This window comes from Homo sapiens, chromosome 1 (assembly GCF_000001405.40).
Source record: "Homo sapiens chromosome 1, GRCh38.p14 Primary Assembly".
NCBI lineage: Eukaryota > Metazoa > Chordata > Mammalia > Primates > Hominidae > Homo > Homo sapiens.
Genome location: NC_000001.11, coordinates 152,245,257 through 152,271,148, shown reverse-complemented (window position 1 = coordinate 152,271,148; position 25,892 = coordinate 152,245,257). Strand labels below are relative to the sequence as shown.

The following is a 25,892-nucleotide window of genomic DNA, read 5'->3' as shown; positions in this document are numbered from 1 at the left end:
GCAGAACTATGAGTCAATTAAACTTCTTTTCTTTATAAATCACCCAGTCTCAGGTATTTCTTTATAGCAATGTAATAATGGATTCATACATATCCAAAGGAATAGAAATCATTCTGCCATAAAGACACATGCATGCATATGTTTGTTGCAGCACTATTCACAATTGCAGATATATGGAATCAACCTAGATGTCCACCAATGGTAGACTAGATAAAGAAAATGTGATGCATGTACAGCATGGTATGCTACACAGCCATGTAAAAGAACAATATTATGTCCTTTGTAGCAACATGGAGGGAGTTGGAGGCCATTATTGTAAGCAAACTAACACAGGACCAGGAATACCAAATACTACATATTCTCAAATTTGCCTATATAACAAACATGCAAATGTACCCCTGTATCTAAAATAAAAGTAAACAACAACAGCAAAACAAAAGAATTTTAAGATTTATCCACTGTAAAGTTAAAATTTTTTTTGAAAGAAATAAAAGATCTAAATAAATGGAAAAGCAGCTAATATTTACGGAAAAAAAAGTAATCAAGAAAGTAATTTTAGAGATGAGCGGGCAAGATGGCTGAAGAACAGCTCCGGTCTGCAGCTCCCAGTGAGACCAATGCAGAAGGCAGGTGATTTCTGCATTTCCAACAGAGGTACCTGGTTCCTCTCATTGGGATTGGTTAGACAGTGGGTACAGCCCATGGAGGGGGAGCAGGAGGCATTGCCTCACCCAGGAAGCACAAGGGGCTGGAGAACTTCCTCCCCAACCAAGGGAAGTCATGAGGGACTGTGCTCTGTGGCCCAGATACTACACTTTTCCCATAGTTTCTACATCCCACAGACCAGGAGATTCCCTCGGGTGCCTGTACAGCTAGGGCCCTGGGTTTCAAGCACAAAACTGGGTGGCTGTTTGGGCAGACACTGAGCTAGCTGCAGGAGATTTTTTTTCCATACCCCAGTGGTACCTGGAACCCCAGCAAGACAGAACTGTTCACTCCCCTGGAAAGGGGACTGAAGCCAGGGAGCCAAGTGGTCTTGTTCAACTGGTGGCACCCCTATGGAGCCCAGCAAGCTAAGATCCACTCGCTTGAAATTCTCGCTGTCAGCACAGCAGTCTGAAGTCGACCTTGGATGATACGACTTCATTGGGGGAAGGGCACCTGCCATTACTGAGGCTTGAATAGGTGGTTTTCCCCTCACAGTATAAACAAAGCTGCCAGGAATTTCGGACTGGGCAAGACTAACTGCAGCATGGCAAAGCCGCTGTGGCCAGACTGCCTCTCTACATTCCTCCTCACTGGGCAGGGCATATCTGAAAGAAAGGCAGCAGACCCAGTCAGGGGCTTATAGATAAAACTCCCTTCTCCCTGAGACAGAGCACCTGGGTGAAGGGGCGGCTGTGGGCGCAGCTTCAGCAGACTTAAACATTGCTGCCTGCTGGCTCTGAAGAGAGCAGCAGATCTCCCAGCATAGGACTTGAGCTCTGCTAAGGGACAGACTGCCTCCTCAAGTAGTTCCCTGACCCTCATGCCTCCTGACTGGAGACACCTCCCAGCAGGGATCAACACATATCTCATACAGGAGAGCTCTGGCTGGCATCTGGCAGGTGTCCCTCTGGAACAAACCTTCAAGAGGAAGGGGCAGGCAGGAATCTTTGCTGTTCTGTAGCCTCTGCTGGGGATATCCAGGAAAACAGTGTCTGTAGTGGACCTCCAGCAATCTCTAACAGACCTGCAGAAGAGGGACTTGACTGTTAGAAGGAAAACTAACAAACAGAAAGCAATAACATTAACATCAACAAAAAGGACGCCTGTGCAAAAACCCCATCCAAAGGTCTTCAACATCAAAGATCAAAGGTAGATAAATCCATGAAGATGAGGAAAAATCAGCTCAAAAATGCTGAAAATTCCTAAAACCAGAATGCCTTTTCTCCTCCAAAGGATCACAACTCCTTGCCAGCAAGGACACAAAACTGGACACAGAATGAGTTTGACGAATTGACAGAAGTAGGCTTCAGAAGGTGGGTAATAACAAACTCCTCCGAGCTAAAGGAGCATGTTCTAACCCAATGCAAGGAAGCTAAGAACCTTGACAAAGGTTACAGGAACTGCTAACTAGAATAACTAGTTTAGAGAACAACATAAATGACCTAATGGAGCTGAAAAACACAGCATGAGAACTTTGTGAAGCATATACAAGTATCAATAGCCAAATTGATCAAGCAGAAGGAAGGATATCAGAAATTGAAGATAAACTGAATGAAATAAAGCATGAAGACAAGATTAGAGAAAAAAGAATGAAAAGGAATGAACAAAACCTTCAAGAGATATGGGACTATGTGAAAAGACCAAACCTATGATTGATTGGTGTACCTGAAAGTGATGGGGAGAACGGAACCAAGCTGGAAAACACACTTCAGGATATGATCCAGGAGAACTTCCCCAACCTAGCAAGACAGGCCAACATTCAAATTCAGGAAATACAGAGAACACCACTAAGATTCTCCTCAAGAAGAGCAACCCCAAGACACATAATCATCAGATTCACCAAGGTTGAAATAAAGAAAAAAATGTTAAGGGCAGCCAGAGAGAAGGGTCAGGTTACCTACAAAGGGAAGCACATCAGACTAACAGTGGATCTCTTCAGAAACCCTACAAGCCAGAAGAGAGAGGGGGCCAATATTCAACATTCTTAAAGAATTTTCAACCCAGAATTTCATATCCAGCCAATCTAAGCTTCATAAGGGAAGCAGAAATAAAACCCTTTACTGACAAGCAAATGTTGAGCGATTTTGTCAACACCAGGCCTGCCTTACAAGAGCTCCTGAAGGAAAGACTAAATATGGAGAGGAAAAACTGGTACCAGCTACTGCAAAAACATACCAAAATATAAAGACCAACGACACTATGAAGCAACTGCATCAACTAATGTGCAAAATAACTAGCTAGCATCATGATGACAGGATCAAATTCACACATAACAATATTAACCTTAAATGTAAATGAGCTAATTGCCCCAGTTAAAAGACACAGACTGATACCTGTGTAACAAACCTGCACATTCTACACATGTATCCCAGAACTTAAAGTATATATATGTATATATATACTTTACGTAAAGTATATATATACTTTACGTAAAGTATATATATTCATATATATACTTTACGTAAAGTATATATATACATATATATACTTTACGTAAAGTATATATATATATAGTTTACACAAAGTATAAATATATATAGTTTATGTGAGGTATAAATATTTATATTTTATATAAAATATATATACTTTATATAAATATATATATATTTTAATATTTTTACATTTTATTCAAAGAAAATAAAGAGATTGTATCAATAAAGCAAAACATTTTTGGCCCTCAAATTAAACACATCCTGTATTCTTAGCCCAGTATCTGTTGTTGTGAGGAATATAAGACTTGGAGGACATGGTTTATTTGTTAAAGAAACATTAAGTCCTCACTATATGCTTCACTTGCCTTTTACACACTGAGTATCCCTTATCCAAAATGCTTGGGACCAAAAGTGTTTCAGATTTTGGATAATTTTGGATTTTAAAACATTTGCATATACATGAGATATCCTGGGGATAAGACCCAAGTCTAACATGGAATTCATGTATGTTGCATATATACATTATATGCATACCTTGAAGGTAATTTTATATAATATTTTAAAAAATTTTGTGCATGAAACAAAGTTTGGACTGCATTTTTTTTATTATTATCATACTTTAAGTTTTAGGGTACATGTGCACAACGGGCAGGTTTGTTACATACGTATACATGTGCCATGTTGGTGTGCTGCACCCATTAACTCATTATTTAGCATTAGGTATATCTCCTAATGCTGTCCCTCCCCCCTCGCCCCACCCCACAACCGTCCCCGGTGTGTGATGTTCCCCTTCCTGTGTCCATCTGTTCTCATTGTTCAATTCCCACCTATGAGTGAGAACATGCGGTGTTTGGTTTTTTGTCCTTGAGATACTTTGCTGACAATGATGGTTTCCAGCTTCATCTATGTCCCTACAAAGGACATGAACTCATCATTTCTTAGGGCTGCATAGTATTCCATGGTGTATATATGCCACATTCTCTTAATCCAGTCTATCATTGATGGACATTTGGGTTGGTTCCAAGTCTTTGCTATTGTGAATAGTGCTGCAATAAACATACGTGTGCATGTGTCTTTATAGAAGCATGATTTATAATCCTTTGGGTATATACCCAGTAATGGTATGGCTGGGTCAAATGGTATTTCTAGTTCTAGATCCCTGAGGAATCACCACACCGACTTCCACAATGGTTGAACTAGTTTACAGTCCCACCAACAATGTAAAAATGTTCCTATTTCTCCACATCCTCTCCAGCACCTGTTGTTTCCTGACTTTTTAATGATTGCCATTCTAACTGGTGTGAGATGGTATCTCATTGTGGTTTTGATTTGCATTTCTCTGATGGCCAGTGATGATGAGCATTTTTTCATGTGTTTTTTGGCTGCATAAATGTCTTCTTTTGAGAAGTGTCTGTTCATATCCTTTGCCCACTTGTTGATGGGGTTGTTGGTTTTTTTCTTGTAAATTTGTTTTAGTTCTTTGTAGATGCTGGATATTAGCCCTTTGTCAGATGAGTAGGTTGAAAAAATTTTCTCCATTCTGTAGGTTGCCTGTTCACTCTGATGGTGGTTTCTTTTGCTGTGCAGAAGCTCTTTAGTTTAATTAGATCCCATTTGTCAATTTTGGCTTTTGTTGCCATTGCTTTTGCTGTTTTAGACATGAAGTCTTTGCCCATGCCTATGTCCTGAATGGTATTGCTTAGGTTTTCTTCTAGGGTTTTTATGGTTTTAGGTCTAACATGTAAGTCTTTAATCCATCTTGAATTAATTTTTGTATAAGGTGTAAGGAAGGGATCCGGTTTCAGCTTTCTACATATGGCTAGCCATTTTTCCCAGCACCATTTATTAAATAGGCAATCCTTTCCCCATTGCTTGTTTTTGTCATGTTTGTCAAAGATCAGATGGTTGTAGATGTGTGGTATTATTTCTGAGGGCTCTGTTCTGTTCCGTTGGTCTATATCTCTGTTTTGGTACCAGTACCATGCTGTTTTGGTTGCTGTAGCCTTGTAGTATAGTTTGAAGTCAGGTAGCGTGATGCCTCCAGCTTTGTTCTTTTGGCTTAGGATTGACTTGGCAATGCGTGCTCTTTTTTGGTTCCATATGGACTTTAAAGTAGTTTTTTCCAATTCTGTGAAGAAAGTCATTGGTAGCTTGATGGGGATCACATTGAATCTGTAAATTACCTTGGGCAGTATGGCCATTTTCACGATATTGATTCTTTCTACCCATGAGCATGGAATGTTCTTCCATTTGTTTGTATCCTCTTTTATTTCGTTGAGCAGTGGTTTGTAGTTCTCCTTGAAGAGGTCCTTCACATCCCTTGTAAGTTGGATTCCTAGGTATTTTATTCTCTTTGAAGCAATTGTGAATGGGAATTCACTCATGATTTGGCTCTGTGTTTATCTATTATTGGTGTATAAGAATGCTTGTGATTTTTGCACATTGATTTTGTATCCTGAGACTTTGCTGAAGTTGCTTATCAGCTTAAGGAGATTTTGGGCTGAGACAATGGGGTTTTCTAGATATACAATCATGTCATCTGCAAACAGGGACAATTTGACTTTCTCTTTTCCTAACTGAATGCCCTTTATTTCCTTCTCCTACCTGATTGCTCTGGCCAGAACTTCCAACACTATGTTGAATAGGAGTGGTGAGAGAGGGCATCCCTGTCTTGTGCCAGTTTTCAAAGAGAATGCTTCCAGTTTTTATCCATTCAGTATGATATTGGCTGTGGGTTTGTCACAGATAGCTCTTATTATTTTGAGATATGTCCCATCAATACCTAATTTATTGAGAGTTTTTAGCATGAAGGGTTGTTATATTTTGTCAAAGGCCTTGTCTGCATCTATTGAGATAATCATGTGGTTTTTTTCTTTGGTTCTGTTTATATGCTGGATTTATTGATTTTCGTATGTTCAACCAGCCTTGCAACCCAGGGATGAAGCCCACTTGATCATGGTGGATAAGCTTTTTGATGTGTTGCTGGACTCAGTCTGCCAGTATTTTATCAAGGATTTTTGCATCAATGTTCATCAAGGATATTGGTCTAAAATTCTCTTTTTTTTGCTGTGTCTCTGCCAGGCTTTGGTATCCGGATGATGCTGGCCTCATAAAATGAGTTAGGGAGGATTCTCTCTTTTTCTATTGATTCAATAGTTTCAGAAGGAATGGTACCAGCTCCTCCTTGTACCTCTGGTAGAATTTGGCTGTGAATCCATCTGGTCCTGGACATTTTTTGGTTGGTAAGCTATTAATTATTGCCTCAATTTCAGAGCCTGTTATTGGTCTATTCAGAGATTCAAATTCCTGGTTTAGTCTTGGGAGGGTGTATGTGTCGAGGAATTTATCCATTTCTTCTAGGTTTTCTAGTTTATTTGCGTAGAGGTGTTTATAGTATTCTCTGATGATAGTTTGTGTTTCTGTGGGATCGGTGGTGATATCCCCTTTGTCATTTTTTATTGCGTCTATTTGATTCTTCTCTCTTTTCTTCTTTATTAGTCTTGCGAGTGGTCTGTCAATTTTGTTGATCTTTTCAAAAAACCAGTTCCTGGTTTATTCACTTTTTGAAGGGTTTTTTGTGTCTCTATCTCCTTCAGTTCTGTTCTGATCTTAGCTATTTCTTGCCTTCTGCTAGCTTTTGAATGTGTTTGCTCTTGCTTCTCTAGTTCTTTCAACTGTGATGTTAGGGTGTCAATTTTAGATCTTTCCTGCTTTCTCTTGTGGGCATTTAGTGCTATAAATTTCCGTCTACGCACTGCTTTACGTGTATCCCAGAGATTCTGGTATGTTGTGTCTTTGTTCTCGTTGGTTTCAAAGAACATCTTTATGTCTGCCTTCATTTCGTTATGTACCCAGTAGTCATTCAGGAGCAGGTTGTTCAGTTTCCACGCAGTTGAGCGGTTTTGATTGAGTTTCTGAATCCTGAGTTCTAGTTTGATTGCACTGTGGTCTGACAGACAGTTTGTTACAATTTCTGTTCTTTTACATTTGCTGAAGAGTGCTTTACTTCCAACTATGTGGTCAATTTTGGAATAAGTGCAGTGTGGTGCTGACAGGAATGTATATTCTGTTGACTTGATATGGAAAGTTCTGTAGATGTCTGTTAGGTCCACTTGGTGCAGAGCTGAGGTCAATTCCTGGATATCCTTGTTAACTTTCTGTCTCGTTGATCTGTCTAATGTTGACAGTGGGGTGTTAAAGTCTCCCATATTATTGTGTGGGAGTCTAAGTCTCTTTGTAGGTCACTAAGGACTTGCTTTATGAATCTGGGTGCTCCTGTATTGCATGCATATATATTTAGGATAGTTAGCGCTTCTTGTTGAATTGATCCCTTTACCATTATGTAATGGCTTTCTTTCTCTCTTTTGATCTTTGTTGGTTTAAAGTCTGTTTTATCAGTGACTACGATTGCAACCCCTGCTTTTTTTGTTTTCCATTTGCTTGGTAGATCTTCCTCCATCCCTTTATTTTGAGACTATGTGTGTCTCTGCACGTGAGATGGGTTTCCTAAATGCAGCACACTGATGGGTCTTGACTCTTTATCCAATTTGCCAGTCTGTGTCTTTTAATTGGAGCATTTAGCCCATTTACACTTAATATTGTTATGTGTGAATTTGATCCTGTCATTATGATATTAGCTGGTTATTTTGCTCATTAGTTGACACAGTTTCTTCCAAGCCTCGATGGTCCTTACAATATGGCATGTTTTTGCAGTGGCTGGTACTCATTGTTCCTTTCCATGTTTATTGCTTCCTTCTGGAGCTCTTGTAAGGCAGGCCTGGTGGTGACAAAATCTCTCAGCATTTGCTTGTCTGTAAGGTATTTTATTTCTCCTTCATTTATGAAGCTTAGTTTGGCTGGATATGAAATTCTGGGTTGAAAATTCTTTCCTTTAAGAATGTTGAATATTGGCCCCCACTCTCTTCTAGCTTGTAGAGTTTCTGCCAAAAGATCAGCTATTAGTCTGATGGGCTTCCCTTTGTGGGTATGTCTACCTTTCTTTCTGGCTGCCCTTAATATTTTTCCTTCATTTCAACTTTGGTGAATCTGACAATTATGTGTCTTGGAGTTGCTCTTCTCGAGGAGTATCTTTGTGGCATTCTCTATATTTCCTGAATTTGAATGTTGGCCTGCCTTGCTAGATTGGGGAAGTTCTCTGGGATAATATCCTGCAGAGTGTTTTCCAACTTGGATATCCTTCTTAACAAGGATACCCAGGAATTGAACTCAGCTCTGCACCAAGCGGACCTAATAGACATCTATAGAACTCTCCACCCCAAATCAACAGAATATACCTTTTTTTCAGAACCACACCACACCTATTCCAAAATTGACCACATAGTTGGAAGTAAAGCACTCCTCAGCAAGTCCAAAAGAACAGAAATTATAACAAACTATCTCTCAGATCGCAGTGCAATCAAACTAGAACTCAGGATTAAGAAACTTACTCAAAACCGATCAACTACATGGAAACTGAACTACCTGCTCCTGAATGTCTACTGGGTACATAACGAAATGAAGGCAGAAATAAAGATGTTCTTTGAAACCAATGAGAGCAAAGACACAACATACCAGAATCTCTGGGACACATTCAAAGCAGTGTGTAGAGGGAAATTTATAGCACTAAATGTCCACAAGAGAAAGCAGGAAAGATCTAAAATTCACACCCTAGCATCACAATTAAAAGAACTAGAAAAGCAAGAGCAAACACATTCAAAAGCTAGCAGAAGGCAAGAAATCACTAAAATCAGAGCAGAACTGAAGGAAATAGAGACATAAAAAACCCTTCAAAAAAATTACTGAATCCAGGAGCTGGTTTTTTGAAAGGATCAACAAAATTGATAGACTGCTAGCAAGACTAATAAAGAAGAAAAGAGAGAAGAATCAAATAGACGCAATAAAAAATGATAAAGGCGATATTACCACCAATCCCACAGAAATACAAACTACCATCAGAGACTACTAAAAACACCTCTACGCAAATAAACTAGAAAATCTAGAAGAAATAGATAAATTCCTCGACACATACACCCTCCCAAGACTAAACCAGGAAGAAGTTGAATCTCCGAATAGACCAATAACAGGCTCTGAAATTGAGGCAATAATTAATAGCCTACCAACCAAAAAAAGTCCAGGACCAGATGGACTCACAGCCAAATTTTACCAGAGGTACAAAGAGGAGCTGGCACCATTCCTTCTGAAACTATTCCAGTAAATAGAAAAAGAGGGAATCCTCCCTAACTCATTTTATGAGGCCAGCATCATTCTGATACCAAAGTCTGGCAGAGACACAACAAAAAAGAGAATTTTAGACCAATATCCCTGATGAACATCCCTGCAAAAATCCTCAATAAAATACTGGCAAACTAAATCCAGGAGATAATCAAAAAGCTTATCCACCACAATCAAGTTGGCTTCATCCCTGGGATGCAAGGCTGGTTCAACATACGAAAATCAATAAAGGCAATCCATCACATAAACAGAACCAATGACAAAAACCACATGATTATCTCAAAAGATGCAGAAAAGGCCTTTGACAAAATTTGACAACTCTTCATGCTAATAACTCTCAATAAACTAGGTATTGATGGGATGTATCTCAAAATAATAAGAGCTATTTATGACAAACCCACAGCCAATATCATACTGAATGGGCAAAAACTGGAAGCATTCCCTTTGAAAACTGGCATAAGACAGGGATGCCCTCTCTCACCACTCCTATTCAACATAGTGTTGGAAGTTCTGGTAAGGGAAATCAGGCAAGAGACAGAAATAAAGTGTATTAAATTAGGAAAAGAGAAGTCAAATTGTCCCTGTTTGCAGATGACATGATTGTATATTTAGAAAACCCCATTGTCTCAGCCCAAAATCTCCTTAAGCTGATAAGCAACTTCAGCAAAATCTCAGGATACAAAATCAATATGCAAAAATCACAAGGATTCCTATACACCAGTAACACACAAACAGAGAGCCAAATCATGAGTGAACTTCCATTCACAATTGCTACAAAGAGAATAAAATAACTAGGAATCCAACTTACAAGGTATGTGAAGGACCTCTTCAAGGAGAATGATAAACCACTGCTCAACAAAATAAAAGAGGACACAAACAAATGGAAGAACATTCCATGCTCATGGATAGGAAGAATCCATTTCGTGAAAATGGCCACACTGCCCAAGGTAATTTATAGATTCAATGTCATCCCCATCAAGCTACCAATGACTTTCTTCACGGAATTGAAAAAAACTACTTTAAAGTTCATATGGAACCAAAAAAGAGCCCACATTGCCAAGACAATACTAAGCAAAAAGAACAAAGCTGGAGGCATCACGCTACATGACTTCCAACTATACTACAAGGCTACAGCAACCAAAACAGCATGGTACTGGTACCAAAACAGAGATGTAGACCAATAAAACAGAACAGAGTCCTCAGAAATAAGACCACACTTCTACAGCCATCTGATCTTTGACAAACCTGAGAAAAACAAGAAATGGGGAAAGGATTCCCTACTTAATTAATGGTGCTGGGAAAACTGGCTAGCCATATGTAGAAAGCTGAAACTGGATCCCTTCACTACGCTTTATACAAAAATTAATTCAAGATGGATTAAAGACTTAAATGTTAGACCTAAAACCATAAAAACCCTAGAAGAAAACCTAGGCAATACCACTCAGGACATAGGCATGGGCAAGGGCTTCAAGACTAAAACACCAAAAGCAATGGCAACGAAAGCCCAAATAGACAAATGGGATCTAATTAAACTAAAGAGCTTTTACACGGCAAAAGGAACTACCATCAGAGCGAACAGGCAACCTACAGAATGGGAGAAAATTTTTGCAATCTACCCATCTGACAAAGGGCTAATATCCAGAATCTACAAAGAACTTAAACAAATTTATAAGAAAAAAACAAACAACCCCATCAACAAGTGGGCAAAGGATATGAACAGACACTTCTCAAAAGAAGACATTTAGGGCTGGGCGTGATGGCTCATGCCTGTAATTCCAGCACTTTGGGTAGCAAACGCCGGTGGATCACAAGGTCAGGAGACTGAGACCATCCTGGCTAACATGGTAAAACCCTGTCTCTACTAAAAACACAAAAAAAATAGCCAGATGTGCTGGCGAGTGCCTGTAGTCCCAACTACTCAGGAGGCTGAGGCAGGAGAATGGCGTGAACCCAGAAGGCAGAGCTTGCAGTGAGCCGAGATCACACCACTGCACTCCAGCCTGGGCAACAGAGTGAGACTCCATCTCAAAAAAAAAAAAAATTCATGCAGCCAACAGACACATGAAAAAGTGTTCATTATCATTAGTCATCAGAGAAATGCAAATCAAGACCACAATGAGATACCATCTCACACCATTTAGAATGGCGATCATTAAAAAGTCAAGAAACAACAGATGCTGGAGAGGATGTGGAGAAATTGGAATGCTTTACACTGTTGGTGGGAGTGCAAATTAAACCATTGTGGAGGACAGTGTGGCGATTCCTCAAGGATCTAGAACTAGAAATACCATTTGACCCAGCCATCCCATTACTGGGTGTATACCCAAAGGATTATAAATCATGCTACTATAAAGACACATGAACACGTACGTTTATCGCAGCACTATTCACAATAGCAAAAACTTGGAACCAACCCAAATGTCCATCAATGAGAGACTGGATTAAGAAAACGTGGCCCATATACACCATGGAATACTATGCAGCCATAAAAAAGGATGAGTTCATGTCTTTTACAGGGACATGGATGAAGCTGGAAACCATCATTCTCAGCAAACTATCACAAGGACGAAAAACCAAACACCACATGTTCTCACTCATAGGTGGGAACTGAACAATGAGAAAACTTGGACACAGGGCAGTGAACAACACACACCAGGGCCTGTCGGGGGTTTGGGGGCTAGGGGAGGGATAGCATTAGGAGAAATACCTGATGTATATGACGAGTTGATGGATGCAGCAAACCAACATGGCACATGTATACCTATGTAACAAACTTGCACGTTGTGCACATGTACCCTAGAACTTAAAAGTATGTAATATATATATAGAGAGAGAGAGACTTAAATTTAAGACCCAAAACTATGAAACTGCTAGAAGAAAACACATGGAAAAACCTTTCAGGACATTGATCTAGGCAAAGATTTTATGGCTAAGACCTCAAAAACACAGGCAGTAAAAACAAAAATAGACAAATTGGACTATGTTAAACTGAAAACCTTCTGCACAACAAGGGAAACAACAGAGTGAAGAGACAACCTGTTGAATGAAAGAGAATATTTGCAAACTATTCATCTGATAATGAACTAATATCTAAAATTACAAAAAACTCAAACAAAACAACATAAAAAATAATCTCATTAATAAGTAAGCAAAAGACATGAATAGGTATTTCTCAAAAGAAGACATACAAATGGCCAACAAGGATACGAGAAAATGCTCAACATCACTAACCATCAGGGAAATGCAACTCAAAACAACAATGAGATATCACTTTACCCCAGTTAGAATGACCATTATGAAAAGGACAAAAAATAACAGATGCTAGCAAGGATGAAAACAAGCAACTCTTACACACTGTTGGTAGAAATGTAAATTAGTATAGCCACTATGGAAAACAGTATGGACATTTCTCAAAAAACTAAAAGTAGAACTACCATATGATCCAGGAATTCCACTGCTGGGTATTTATCCAAGGGAAAAGAAATCAGTATATCAAAGAGATGCCTGCACTCACATGTTTATAGTAGCACTATTCGTAATAGCAAAGATATGAAACCAACCTAAGTGTCCATCAATGGACAAATGGATAAAGAAAATGTGGTATATATATACATACATACTGTGACAGTTAATATTATGTGTCAGCTTGACTGAATTGAAGGATGCCTAGATGGCAGGTGAAGCATTTTTTCTGGGTATGTGTGTTATGGTGTTTCCACAGGAGAATGACAGTAGATTGGGAGGGAAGACTTGCCTTTAATGTGAGCAGACACCATCCAATTGGCTGCTGTTGGGGCTAGAACAAAGCAGGCAGAAGAGGAGGATATTCAGCTTGCTTGGCTTTATCTTTCTCTCTCTCTTGCAGAGCAAGTCACCTTTTTGCCTCCTGCCCTTGGACATCAGACTCCAGTTTCTTCAGTCTTTGGACACTGGAACTTGCGCTAGCAGTTGTCTGGGGGCTCTCAGGCCTGTAGCCTCAGACTGGGAGCTGCACTGTCAGCTTCCCTGGTTTTGAGGCTTTTGGGAGTTCAACTGTGCCACGCTGGCAGCTTTTCTCAACCCCAGCTTGCCAATGGCCTATCATGGGACTTTGCTTTTGTAATTATATAAGCTAATTCTTTCTAATAAACATCTATATATATATATACACACACACACACACACACACATATATGTAGTAATATATATGTATATATGTACACATATATTACATACATGCATATATATATATTCAGATTCTCTACTTTGTTCCACTGGTCTATGTGTCTGTTTTTATACCAATGCCATACTGTTTTGATTACTATAGCTTTGTAATAAGCCAATAGCATACATACATATATACATATGTATATATGTGTACATTATACATATATGTATAGATGTATACATATATACACATAATATACACCTACATATACATATATACATACATATACATATAGGTATTTACATATTTATGTATACTAATATACATCTACACATACATATACATATGTATACATGTTTGTATACCATTGGTTCTGTTCCTCTGGAGAAATCTGACTTATAAATATACAAGGAAATACTATTCAGCCATAAAAATGAATGAAATAGCGCTCTCCCTCTCCCTCTCCCCACGGTCTCCCTCTCCCTCTCTCTCCACGGTCTCCCTCTGATGCTGAGCGGAAGCTGGACTGTACTGCTGCCATCTCGGCTCACTGCAACCTCCCTGCCTGATTCTCCTGCCTCAGCCTGCCGAGTGCCTGCGATTGCAGGCACATGCCGCCACGCCTGACTGGTTTTCGTATTTTTTTGGTGGAGACGGGGTTTCGCTGTGTTGGCCGGGCTGGTCTCCAGCTCCTAACGGCGAGTGATCTGCCAGCCTCGGCCTCCCGAGGTGCCGGGATTGCAGACGGAGTCTGGTTCACTCAGTGCTCAATGTTGCCCAGGCTGGAGTGCAGTGGCGTGATCTCGGCTCGCTACAACCTCCACCTCCCAGCCGCCTGCCTTGGCCTCCCAAAAGGCCAAGATTGTAGCCTCTGCTCGGCCACCACCCCGTCTGGGAAGTGAGGAGTGTCTCTCCCTGGCTGCCCATCGTCTGGGACGTGAGGAGCCCCTCTGCCTGGCTGCCCAGTCTGGAAAGTGAGGAGCATCTCTGTCCGGCCGCCACCCCATCTAGGAAGTGAGGAGCACCTCTTCTCGGCCGCCATCCCATCTAGGAAGTGAGGAGCGTCTCTGCCCGGCCGCCCCGTCTGGGATGTGAGGAGCGCCTCTGCCCTGGGATGTGAGGAGCGCCTCTGCCCGGCTGCGACCCCACCTGGGAGGTGAGGAGCGTCACTGCCCAGCCGCCCCGTCTGAGAAGTGAGGAGACCCTCTGCCTGGCAACCGCCCCGTCTGAGAAGTGAGGAGCCCCTCCGCCCGGCAGCTGCCCCATCTGAGAAGTGAGGAGCCCCTCCACCCGGCAGCCACCCCATCTGGGAAGTGAGGAGCGTCTCTGCCCGGCAGCCACCCCGTCCGGGAGGGAGGTGGGGGTCAGCCCCCGCCAGGCCAGCTGCCCCGTCCGGGAGGGAGGTGGGGGGGTCAGCATCCCCCCGGGCCAGCCGCCCCGTCTGGGAGGTGAGGGGCGCCTCTGCCCGGCCGCCCCTACTGGGAAGTGAGGAGCCCCTCTGCCCGGCCACCACCCTGTCTGGGAGGTGTACCCAACAGCTCATTGAGAACGGGCCATGATGACAATGGCTGTTTTGTGGAGTGGAAAAGGGGGAAAGGTGGGGAAAAGATTGAGAAATCGGATGGTTGCCGTGTCTGTGTAGAAAGAAGTAGACATGGGAGACTTTTCATTTGGTTCTGTACTAAGAAAAATTCTTCTGCCTTGGGATCCTGTTGATCTGTGACCTTACCCCCAACCCTGTGCTCTCTGAAACATGTGCTGTGTCCACTCAGGGTTAAATGGATTTATGGCGGTGCAAGATGTACTTTGTTAAACAGATGCTTGAAGGCAGCATGCTTGTTAAGAGTCATCACCACTCCCTAATCTCAAGTACCCAGGGACACAAACACTGCGGAGGGCCCCAGGGTCCTCTGCCTAGGAAAACCAGAGACCTTTGTTCACTTGTTTATCTGCTGACCTTCCCTCCACTATTGTCCTATGACCCTGCCAAATCCCCCTCTGCGAGAAACACCCAAGAATGATCAATAAATAAATAAATAAATAAATAAATAAATAAATAAAAAAGAGAGCATCTTAAAAAAAAAATGAATGAAATAATGTCATTTGCAGCAAGATGGGTAGAAATAAACTTCATTATGTTACATTAAATAAGCCAGACACAGAAAGACAAATATGAGTTCTACTCATATGTAGGAGGTAAAAACAGTGACCTCATGAAGATAGAGAGTAGAATGATAGATACTAGAGTCTGAGAAAAAAGCGTGGATGAAAGGGGGAATGAAGTGAGGTTGGTCAATGGGTATAAATATACAGATATATGTATAAGTTCTAATGTTTGATAGCAGAGTAGGGCGACTATAGTTAGCAATAATGAATTATATATTTTAAAGTAGCTAGGAGACAGAACTCAAAATGTCCCCAAAACATAGAAATGATAAATACTCAAGGTAATAGCTACCCCAAATACCCTGACTTGAAAATTACACATTTTATGCATTTTATGCATGTAACAAAATATCACACATACCCTATAAATATGTAAATATTATGTGTCAATTTAAAAAACATAAAATTCCTAGGAATAAATTTAACCAAAAAAGTATAAGACCACAACACCAAAAAGTACAAAATATTGCTAAAAGAAATTAAGAAGTCCTAAATAAATGGAGAGATATACCATGCTTATGGATTAGAACAGGAGTTGACAAACTATGGCCCAAAGGCCCATCCAGCTTGTTATCTGCTTTTGTAAATAAAATTGTATTAAAACAAAAAACTTTACAATCGTCACCTATGCTCTTACAAAAGTGACTCAGCTATTGGCAATAAGATTGTGGTTTACAATTTAACAAATAATCTAAATAGTTTCATATGAAAATGAGCAACATAGTCCCTAGCTCTTAGTTGGGCCACACTGCCATCAGTTTTTATTGCTCTTTCCCTTCAAAGACTTGATCCACTATCACGTGAGGAAAGACTGGACAAGACTGAGACTGGGCTCTAGCTATGTGCCAAACACACTTCCACATATCTTCAAATAGAAGGCTGAAAATAAGGCTTAGACTAATAAGAATCTAAATAATGTGGATATCTGGCTCTTGATGCAATATTACTTCATTCTCTCATTAGAAGGAAAGTATTGAACATTTAATTGTCAGGCTCTACACTAGATGAATTTACAAAGATGGGAAAGACAGATCTGTCCTTCAGAAGTTTACTGACCAGGGAGGAAAGTGTGACAAATAATTTTAAAAAGATATTATTAAGATGCAGTGGTAGTATAAATTATAGTGGTACCAGCTAACCATGTTTAGTGGTAAGGAAGAGATGGCTCAAATAATACTTCTGAGTTTAACAGACATGGGCATGGAAACTCTAGAAATGGCTGGAAATGTGCCAGCTTGATTTGGGAAGGAAAGTATTCCGGGGGATTAAACAACTTGTGCAAAATCCCAAAGAAAAACAAAGGTGGGCTCAAGAAACTGATAGCAGCAGTTCGGTATAGCCAAGATATGAGGTGAGTGTGAGGGGCATGGCAAAAAATGATTCCAGAAACATGAGAACCAGATCAAAAGGAGGCTTATAAGCCATGCTAAGATGCTAGGTCTCTATCATCTGAGAGTAGGAAATAAAGGGTTTTAATAAGAAGTCACATGATAAATATTTTGGCAGCAAGACAGGAAGGAGATGAGACCAGAGGCAAGAAGACTAGGTAGGAGACCATTGCACGACCCAGGCAAACAGCAGAGCAGTATTTACTGTTTTATTAGTCCATTCTTATGCTGCTAATAAAGACATACCCATGACTGGATAATTTATAAAGGAAAGCGGTTTAATTGACTCACAGTTCAGCATGGCTGGGGAGATCCCAGGAAACTCACAATCACAGTGGAAGGGGAAGCAAACATTCTTTTCCTTGCTGCTGCCATGTGAAGAAGGATGCGTTTGCTTCCCCTTCTGCCATGATTTTAAGTTTCCTCATCCCCAATCCTGCCACCCTGCCTTCTCTCCCCCAGCCTGCACTGATGGCCTCATGGGGAGCTCCCTATGATGAGTTGACAGAGAAAGCGAAGACTAGGGCCTGGTTTATAGACGGCTCTGCACAATATGCAGGCACTACCTGAAAGTGGACACAGCTGTAGCACTGCAGGCCCTTTCTAGGGCATCCTGAAGGACAGCGGTGAGGAAAATCTTCCCAGTGGGCAGAATTTCAAACAGTGCACCTGGTTGTATACTTTGCCTGGAAAGATAAATGGCCAGATGTATGAATATATACTGATTCATGGACTATAGCCAATGGTTTGGCTGGATGGTCAGGGACTTGGAAGAAGCATGATTGGAAAATTGGTGACAAAGAAATCTGGGGAAGAGGTATGTGGATGGACCTCTCTGAGTGGTCAAAACTGCGAAGATATTTGTATCTAATATGAGTGCTCACCAAAGGACGACCTCAGCGGAGGAGAATTTTAATAATCAAGTGGATAGGATGATTCGTTCTATGGACACCACTCAGACTCTTTACCCAGACACCCCGTCATCGCCCAGTGGGCCCATGAACAAAGTGTCCATGGTGGCAAGGATGGAGGTTACATATGAGCTCAGCAACATGAACTTCCACTCATCAAGGCTGACCTAGCTATGGCCACTGCTGAGTGCCCAATTTGCCAGCAGCAATTTGCCAACACTGTGCCCTCGATATGGCACCATTCCTTGGGGTTATCAGCCAGCTACTTGGTGGCAGGTTGATTATATTGGACCTCTGTCATCATGGAAAGGGCAGCAGTTTTTCCTCACCAGAACAGACACTCTGGATGTGGGTTTGCCTGTCCTGCACGCAATGCCTCCACCAAGACTACCATCCGTGGACTCACAGAATGCCTTATCCATCCTCATAGTGTCACATATAGCATTGCCTCTGACCAAGGCACTCACTTTATGGCTAAAGAAGTGTGGCAGTGGGCTCATGCTCATGGAATTCACTGGTCTTACCATGTTCGCCTTCATCCTGAAACAGCTGGATTGACAGAATGGAGGAATGGGCTTTTAAAGTCACAGTAGCTGACTCTTTTGCTATAGCAAACTCTGAATAAATACCATTTGCTTATTTTCATTTGGTTGGTCTTTATTTTTAAGCCTTCTCGGTTCCCTAAGCTGCCACGTAAAAATTCTGACTACCCTGCTGCAGAGATCATGTGGAGAATTCCTGAATATACAGATAAAGAGAGATACTCAGTCAAGCCCAACCTTCTAGTCATCGTGCCAGAGCTCTGAGTATGTGAGTCAAGTCCAGCCTAGCCCATGGCTGAATGCTACAGACTCCAGCCAAGTTTTACCCAGAAGTTTTACCCAGCTGAGCTGTCCCCAGATTCTTAACCCATAGAATCCTGAAATATAGTAGAACGACTGGAATTTCTAACCACTAAGTTTTGGGATTGTTATACAGCAACCAAAAAACTTCCCTTGGAGAGAAGGAAGAAACACCATGGATTGGGAAGTCTATAGATAGCACTGCTGGGTCTCCTGACCATCCTAGAACAGCCAAGAATGTTCAGGAGGCTAAAGCAGAAGTTTCAACCCCTCTTCTCACTTCACCTCTTCTGGTGAAAATATAGCTCAGTTTTTTACTGAAGGAAAGAAAAAAGAAGATATTATGCAGATGACCTGGCTGGGAGACTTTGAGGGAAAAAGTTAAGAATGAAGTATAAGGATACTCTTCAAGATAAAAATAGCAGAACCAAGACACATTACAAAATGTCCCAATCTACATATCTAACAAAGTAGACAAAACAGAGTACAAACAAATCAGAATTTCACCAGTGGCAACCAAACCAGGAATCGGGTCAAACTCATATCATAAATTTCAAATACTTACGGCTAAGAATTGTAGTAGGTATTAAATATTTGTTCAATGAATAAATAAATTCCAGTGTGGCAAAACTCAGATCTGCTTATAAACATGCCTCCACAACTCCAAGGTACTACAAAGAAAAAAACAGTAAACTATAAGATACTGAGACTCAATACCCAATTTGGAACAAAGTCAACTGGGGATGAGTCAGTAATATCCTTGAGAATAAAGCTCCTAGATTTACCTCAGGATCCCACAGAGCGTAAAGTGCTTAAGAGCTTGCCATCTCCCAGGGCACTGCACTGAATTCAAGTACTTATTTTATTTATGTAAACTGCAGCTATTTCCAAAAAGAATTTTAGCTCATTCCAAAATTAAACTTTATTCTTTGGCATTAGGCATTTTATAAGTACCCAAGCTTCTTGGATGAATATAGAAGAAAATGAGAGAAAAAATACGATTAAACTAATACTGACCAAGCCCACCATTTCCCAAGCTGGAAGGAGCACATACACTTATTTCATTTGAGATTCAGCTAAAGGTTTTTTTTTTAATTTCTGAGCTAAAATTTCTTGCTTTTTCAGGTGTCCTAATTTTATAAAAGCTGGCCACAATTCTCCAAAGAATTAAAAACTACAGGCCTAGATTTATAATTCTGGAACCTAAAACTGCTGCTGTACACCTTGTAGCACATTCCACTATAGAGTTTTATATAATGTTGATTATTTACTATATGCCAAGTATTCTACTGAGGATTTTACATGGATTAACTAATTTAATCTTCTAATAATGTTGAGGTAGATACTGTTACTATGTATATTTTAGAGATGAGAAAATTAAAGCATAATAAAGTAATCTTTCCCAATAGTACCAGATTTTATTCCCAGGCAGTAAAATGCCAAAGCTTCTATTCCTGTCCACTAAAAAATATTGCATCCTTAGGTGATACACGGATGATGAAGAGATTTCTGGTTAGGAATATAGACTATCTCCATTCTCTGGCCTCCAGGACTCAGAAACTTGAACTTTTTGACATGATCTCTGTTGTCAGGAGTTCAAATGACTGGATTTGCAAGAATATTAACAACATTAATAAACAGTCAATGGTTAATATTAACAACACTGATAAATAACCAATGGTTAATATTATGACTTACTGCTTCTCTGCCTTAGCCTCACACTTTCCATGTATTCACTTGGAAATATACTCAATAAGCCACTTGCTGATAACCAAATAAATATTCATTGTTATAACTAAATTCATTACTGAACTGTGATTAAAAGCTGTCAGCACACTAGAAAGAGAAGGGAACAGACATGCATACACATGTTAACCAAAAGACACATAAAACAATGTACATAGCAGCACTATTTTTACAAGTCAAAAACTGGAAATTACTCAAATAGCCATCACTAGGAGAAAGAACATATCATTTGTACCACACTCATATAATGTAATACAATAGAACAATGAGAATGAATGAAAAGTGGCTACATGCATAAACATGGGTGTTAGGTGAAAGAAGCCAGATATAAAAGCACTGTATGATTCCTTTTATATAAAATCCAAAAATAGGTAAAACTAATTTATGATGTTAGAAGTCAAGATAATTATTACTCTTTGAGAGAGTGGGGAGTGCCTGGATGGAAAAAGAGGTGGGGGCTTCTGGGGGTGCTAGTAACATTACGTTTTTTTAATCTGGGAGTTGGTTACATGGATGGTTCAGTTTGAGACAATTAACCAATCTGTACACTTCTGATTTGTACACTTTTCTGTATATATACATATATACATACATATGTCAAGTATTATATATATATTACTTCAATGAAAAACTCAGAAAAAAACAGATTAGGATGCAGACAGCCAGTCAGAAGTAGAATACCTTATGCTTCTTCCCTACTCTCCCTGTCCTACTGTCCATCCCCTCCAAAGGCTGACTTGTATTTTTCCCCATGCTTCACTCTCCTATACATCCTCTAACCATTTGAGGACTCTTTGATAATTACTTTCTAATTCTGCTTTCACTTCCACATGTCAAAATTAGGCTTCAGTGCCTGAATGCCGAAGACCTCAAGATGCCAGAAAGTTTAGAGCACAAAGTAAAGACTAACCCAGCAAGATCATGAAATAATTTTAGGAGTGAAAGAGAACAGTCCAGCGTGGTGAGAAAGCTTAAGAGAAGAAAAGGCATCTAGGAATTGAGCTTGGGAACCTTGACATCTGAAAGTCTTGATAGAAAAGGAAGAGAGTGTAGCCAGAAAGAAAGGAACCAGAGAGTATTGCCAGAGAGTGTAGCCAGAAAAAAAAGGAACATTAGTGTTCAAGCTACAGAGGAGGCTCCAAGCCCTAGGCTCAAGCTAGCCAAAATCCTGGCTAAGTCCCTAACTAAGCCTCCCAAACAAAGTCACATTAAATATTAATATTTACAATGTGACATTAGATAGAAGACTATATTTCATTTGAGGGAGAGAGAGCACAGAACATAGTACACCTGAAGTCAGCTGGGTACAAAAAGAGAAAGGGATAAATGCATTTTTTTAACCATTTAGTAGCACTATTTGCCCCCATCCCTATCCCATTCTCCTAACTACTTTCTTCTTACCATGTTCCTGGCACTTTTGCTACATTTTTCCAATAAGGTTCTCATTCATCAGGTGTAAAAATACAGAGGAAATCAAAAGGCAAAAGACAATATTTGAAGGAACTCTACTCTTACGTCACAATTTCTCTGAAGTTCTGCTTTATCTATAAGACATGAAAACCTACCATGATTTTCTGAAGTTTAGAAAGGAGATTAGGCAGGACCCAGATCACACTGTACCCTATAGAACCCACATCATTCTTCATGAGGTCTCCAGGGAAATAAATCCTAAGAGGAAAAATCCTGGAAAAAGAAAAAGACATTTACATTCCCAGATCCTCTCTTACTGGAAATACATACAAGTACAAAAGTTCACACAATTAATATAGCCAATATTAGAATAACAACTAAACTGCGATAATTATATAATAGCTGAGTTTTAATGTAACTAAAATGTTACACAATGTGCTGTATAATTGACATAATTAGCTTACTTAATACTTCAACAGCCCTTTAAAATGGGCATTATCATCCTTACTTTGATGATGAGGAAACAGACTCAGAAAGGCTAAGTAATTTACCCAAGGTCATACAACAGTAAATGGAAGCGCCAGGAGGCAAACTCAAGTGAGCCAGACTCCAAAACCTTTGAAGCTGACATAGTTGCAGGCTAGTTTGTGACCTGTTCTACTCAAGAAGCATAAAACCATTGTGTTATTTAAGTCAACCCAATCATATATACTTACCTTAAAAGGTTTTTTTTAAAATAAAAATTGCATAAGAAGAATACAAATATTAGTTGAAATATACCCACACTACAAATGAATGATGCATAATTCAGTGATAGTTATTTTAACTGACAGGAGTACACTTTGCATGAGTACTAATGGGTTCTAACAAAGAAACAGTAAAAAGTGGGGAAAAGAGTTTGATTCCAGGGTATGTAGATCAAAAATTTTGAAGAAAGGGAGAGAGCAAAGACTACCTCCTAACCCCTTAAAAAGTATGCCAGAGAAGAAAAAAATTCACCCTGAAGCAGTCAAAACTCAAAAAGTATGTGTTCCACATAATTTCACTGATATGCTTACCACTACTGGGAATGGCATTTAACATGTCTGATCCAGCCTTGGAGGATTTTGCCCAAAGTTGTTTGGGCAATCCTAAAATAGAGATGAATTCCTGGAAAACTATAGGAAATTGTAAAAGCAGGTCACACCAATAAAAGTATTAAAATGCTGATGGAGACACTGAACCAGTCTTCACCACCACAAGATCAGCATTGATTGAGAAATCTATGGCTTCAACATAAAAGCGCATAACCGCTGACACAAGTCCACACTTGAAGGACTTCTGGAACTGTACTTCACTGATTATTCTAGTTATATAGAGGTTCGCAGCTCAGGATACTTTTTTATACAATTGTTAAAATTATTTCTTCCAGATTTTCCCACCATTTCATCCCAGCCTATAAAATCTTCTTCATGCATCCTGAATCTTATACATATTTGCCATCAATTCACATTGTCATTCAAGTCACTGATTAAAATGGTGATCTACATTCATTCAAAGAAATTGCCTTTCAACATAATAGCTAACCACCCTGCAAGCTGTGTTAGCAACCCACGAATCAGTAAGATTTGGAAGCCTATCCATTGTAAGGACAGAAACCAGGGTACCAGTCCCCTGAGGGCATTACCCATATCATACATTTTCAGCTAGGTGGCTGGAGTGATAAAGTGATAAAATCCTCTGGAAAAGAGAAGAAATAAAGAGAGATAAAGATGCTAATGCTGACAATGAAGCAAAAACATGGCTTTTTGTCTATCATTTTTTAATGCTTCAGAGAGTATTTGATACAGAACAACAGTTCCCTTACTGAATTCCTTGATTAATAATAGATGTTCTTCAAAAGAAGAGTTCCCTGATTAGAAATATTTGGGAAACCCTGGTTACAGACAGGGTCCTGGGTTCTACAGAGCTTCTCAGAGTCAGAGCCTTTAATAGGCTAATGTACATTGTGGCTCCAAGAGGAGGACCATCTATGCCTTCCCTAAAGGTCCCAAACCACTAGAGATTATTGCTTGCAAAATCTCTATTAACCATATCTATTGGCATAGAGATGGGGGCCAGGTGATAGGGATGGGTAACCGACAGGCAAATGAACAAACGATTGTAACACAATGTGACAGGAGCTATGGGATGGCCCTACTTCAATGCAAGTAACTTCACTAGAAGGAATTGCTTAAACTGCAGAGAATGTCACAGAAAGCATCATAAAGGAGATGACATTTCCAGGCAGATCTTATAGGATTTGTAAGAGAGCTTGTCTGGTGGAGAAGAAAAATGGCAGAGAAAATAGTATGTGCAAAGACATTAATTAGATAAGAAATGATCAAGGATTGTTGTTAACATTCAAAGGAACAATCCCATAAAAGACAAGTGGTAGTAGAGAAGGCTAAAAAAGTGAAGTTTCATGCCTGATTTTCAGGAGGCTTGCATGCCAAGGTAAGAAATTTGGAATTTATTATAGACAAAGGAGAGCTACCAGGAGCTTTAAGGCAAGAAAATGTTATAATATTTGTTCATAGGAATATGAATCTTGCAGCAATGTAGAAGGACTGGTATGAAGATATCTTGATGGTAGAAAAAGACTAATTAAGAAGATTCTGGAAATAATCCAGATACAAGGTAGCCAGGGCCAGAATAAAACAAGCCATGCCAAGGACAGAGAGGAAGCTTAGATCCAGGAGATAAATCTGTGGTAAAACTGACAGAATGTGGTGGTCATGTGAGTGTGAAGGTGAAGAAAGGGAAGAAATGAAGAATGACTATAGAGTCCTTAGTCTGAGACACAAAAGAATGTCACTGATATGTGACAGGAGACAATAGAAGAAAAGACACACCTGGGGGAAAGATTATAATGGGTCCAGTATGAGATGACGGGGATATCTAAGTATCTAAGTATCCACGTGGCGAGATTATATATGCAGTGAGATACAAAGGACTAGAAACAAAAAGTCCAGGGTTGAGAATCTCCTGCACAGAGTTAGTGAGAATCTCTATGAGAGTCTCTTGCACAGAGTTAGTGGTGCTACTATAGAAGTAAACATACTGTCTCAAGGTTCACAAAGGCAGAGTGTGCAGCATATGTCTGATATTCCAGGTTAATAACCATGACAAAAAGAGAAAAATAGACCTCACTTTTCAATTTGGGATAATACAACTAAATCTGCCAACCTCCAGTGTTCTCTCATTTCCATTTATAACAATATATCAAAGATCACAGTTAGTAGTGCATTAACTCCCAGGCATATTTCTATAATACTCACATATAGAATTCACAGTAACAAACTAGGTGAGATTAAATCCTAGCTGGGAACTCTCCAAAACTCTTCACCTATTTTGGATTTCAGATCCCTCTTACACATGCATATTCTACTACCTCAGCTCAAGGATCATTGCTTTTCAGCATATATGCCTCAAGCCTTTGTTAGGTCAATATGGGAAATAAAACAAAGTATAAATAATGACAGATGTACACAAGGAGGCTATTATTTCCAAAGAGATCCTTCTGTAAAATTTATGCTAGCCAGGACAAATGTCAACCTAAATCTGGAAGCTGCTAATATAAGCAGAAACTAGTACTTGAAAAAGTTAGGAAATAAACAGTAGAGAAAGAAAAGTGGACATATGGGTGGATCAGAATGTGATGAATCAGACCATTCACAAAAGGGGGCCTCTCCTGAGCAGGGACCTTTAGCTGGTATAAAAGGCCACTCTCCTGACCTTTAGTATCCTGCCATTCCTTCAATCGACATCCTTACATGTATGTTGGTGAACTGGGTAAGAGAGAACCCATCCAACTATTCCTACTTATTGTTAACCAAAGTGGAAATCTAGGGACGTACTCTGCAAAACACTACTGGATGCTTGGATTTCTT

The 25,892-nt window shown here is 39.9% G+C and overlaps 1 long non-coding RNA gene across 5 annotated transcripts in view; it reads right to left on the bottom strand.

The window, feature by feature from the left end:
- CCDST (cervical cancer associated DHX9 suppressive transcript) overlaps positions 1-25,892 on the bottom strand; it is a 177,390-nt gene that overhangs the window by 95,544 nt on the left and 55,954 nt on the right. For 3 of the 5 annotated variants that reach the window (NR_186761.1, NR_186764.1, NR_186765.1), the window contains exons 2-3: positions 22,137-22,254; positions 19,391-19,496 (exon numbers count right to left, since the gene is read on the bottom strand). The exons of the other annotated variants lie outside the window; for them this stretch is intronic. This is a non-coding gene — a long non-coding RNA (cervical cancer associated DHX9 suppressive transcript). The remainder of the gene's footprint in view (positions 1-19,390; positions 19,497-22,136; positions 22,255-25,892) is intronic. 5 annotated transcript variants of the gene reach the window in all.